The sequence below is a fragment of the Homo sapiens genome, chromosome 4, assembly GCF_000001405.40.
Source record: "Homo sapiens chromosome 4, GRCh38.p14 Primary Assembly".
NCBI classification, from domain to species: domain Eukaryota; kingdom Metazoa; phylum Chordata; class Mammalia; order Primates; family Hominidae; genus Homo; species Homo sapiens.
The window spans coordinates 75,275,575-75,277,421 of record NC_000004.12 but is presented as its reverse complement, the minus strand read 5'-3'; the positions used below and the strand labels follow the sequence as shown (position 1 = coordinate 75,277,421).

General features: G+C 47.7%; 1 annotated feature.

The window, feature by feature from the left end:
- Window positions 505-1,132: an enhancer, noted in NCBI's record as "OCT4-NANOG-H3K27ac-H3K4me1 hESC enhancer chr4:76201500-76202127 (GRCh37/hg19 assembly coordinates)". NCBI's record gives its function as "activates a minimal SCP1, AML or CMV promoter by ChIP-STARR-seq in primed H9 embryonic stem cells {active_cell/tissue: H9 hESC(primed)}" and the evidence as "EXISTENCE:reporter gene assay evidence [ECO:0000049][PMID:30033119]".

Here is a 1,847-nt window from a genome sequence, read left to right as displayed (position 1 = left end):
GGATCAGTGGTGACGTCCCCTTTATCATTTTTTATTCTGTCTATTTGATTCTTCTCTCTTTTCTTCTTTATTATTCTGGCTAGCAGTCGTTCTATTGGGGTGGAGAGTTCTGTAGATGTCTATTAGGTCCACTTTGTCCAGAGCTGAGTTCAAGTCTTGAATATTCTTGCTAATTTTCTGTCTCATCGATCTGTCTAATATTGATAGCGGTGTGTTAAAGTCTCCTACTATTTTTGTGTGGGAGTCTTAAGTCTCTTTGTAGGTCTCTAAGAACTTGCTTTATGAATCTGGGTGTTCCTGTATTGGGTGCATATATATTTAGGACAGTTAGCTCTTATTGTTGCATTGATCCCTTTACCATTATGTAATCCCCTTCTTTGTCTTTTTTGATCTTTGTTGATTTAAAGTCTGTTTTATCTGAGACTAAGATTGCAACCCCTGCTTTTTATTGCTTCCCATTTGCTTGGTAAATCTTCTTGTATCCCTTTATTTTGAGACTATGTGTGTCTTTGCATGTGAGATAGGTCTCCTGAATACAGCACATGGATGGGTCTTGACTCTTTATCTAATTTGCCAGTCTGTGCCTTCCAATTGGGGCATTTAGCCTGTTTACATTTAAGTTTAATATTGTTATGTGTGAATTTGATCCCATCATTATGACGCTAGCTGGTTATTTTGCCCATCGGTTGATGCTGTTTCTTCATAGTGTCGATGGTGTTTCCATTTTGGTTTGTTTTTGCAGTGGCTGGTACTGGTTTTTCCTTTCCATATTTAGTGCTTCCTTCAGGAGCTTTTGTAAGATAGGCCTGGTGGTGGAGGAGGAGCCAAGATGGCCGAATAGGAACAGCTCCGGTCTACAGCTCCCAGCGTGAGCAACGCAGAAGAGGGGTGATTTCTGCATTAACATCTGAGGTACCGGGTTCATCTCACTAGGGAGTGCCAGACAGTGGGCGCAAGCCAGTGGGTGCGTGCACCGTGCACGAGCCAAAGCAGGGCGAGGCATTGCCTCACTTGGGAAGTGCAAGGGGTCAGGGAGTTCCCTTTCCGAGTCAAAGAAAGGGGTGATGGACGCACCTGGAAAATTGGGTCACTCCCACCCGAATATTGCGCTTTTCATACCGGCTTAAAAAACGGCGCACCACGAGACTATATCCCACACCTGGCTCGGAGGGTCCTACGCCCACGGAATCTCGCTGATTGCTAGCACAGCAGTCTGAGATCAAACTGCAAGACGGCAGCGAGGCTGGGGGAGGGGCGCCCGCCATTGCCCAGGCTTGCTTAGGTAAACAAAGCAGCCAGGAAGCTCCAACTGGGTGGAGCCCACCACAGCTCAAGGAGGCCTGCCTGCCACGTAGGCTCCACCTCTGGGGGCAGGGCACAGACAAACAAAAAGACAGCAGTAACCTCTGCAGACTTAAGTGTCCCTGTCTGACAGCTTTGAAGAGAGCAGTGGTTCTCCCAGCACGCAGCTGGAGATCTGAGAACCGGCAGACTGCCTCCTCAAGTGGGTCCCTGAACCCTGACCCCCGAGCAGCCTAACTGGGACGCACCCCCCAGCAGGGGCACACTGACACCTCACATGGCAGGGTATTCCAACAGACCTGCAGCTGAGGGTCCTGTCTGTTAGAAGGAAAACTAACAAACAGAAAGGACTTCCACACCGAAAACCCGTCTGTACATCACCATCATCAAAGACCAAAAGTAGATAAAACCACAAAGATGAGGAAAAAACAGAACAGAAAAACTGGAAACTCTAAAATGCAGAGCGTCTCTCCTCCTCCAAAGGAACGCAGTTCCTCACCAGCAACGGAACAAAGCTGGATGGAGAATGACTTTGACGAGCTGAG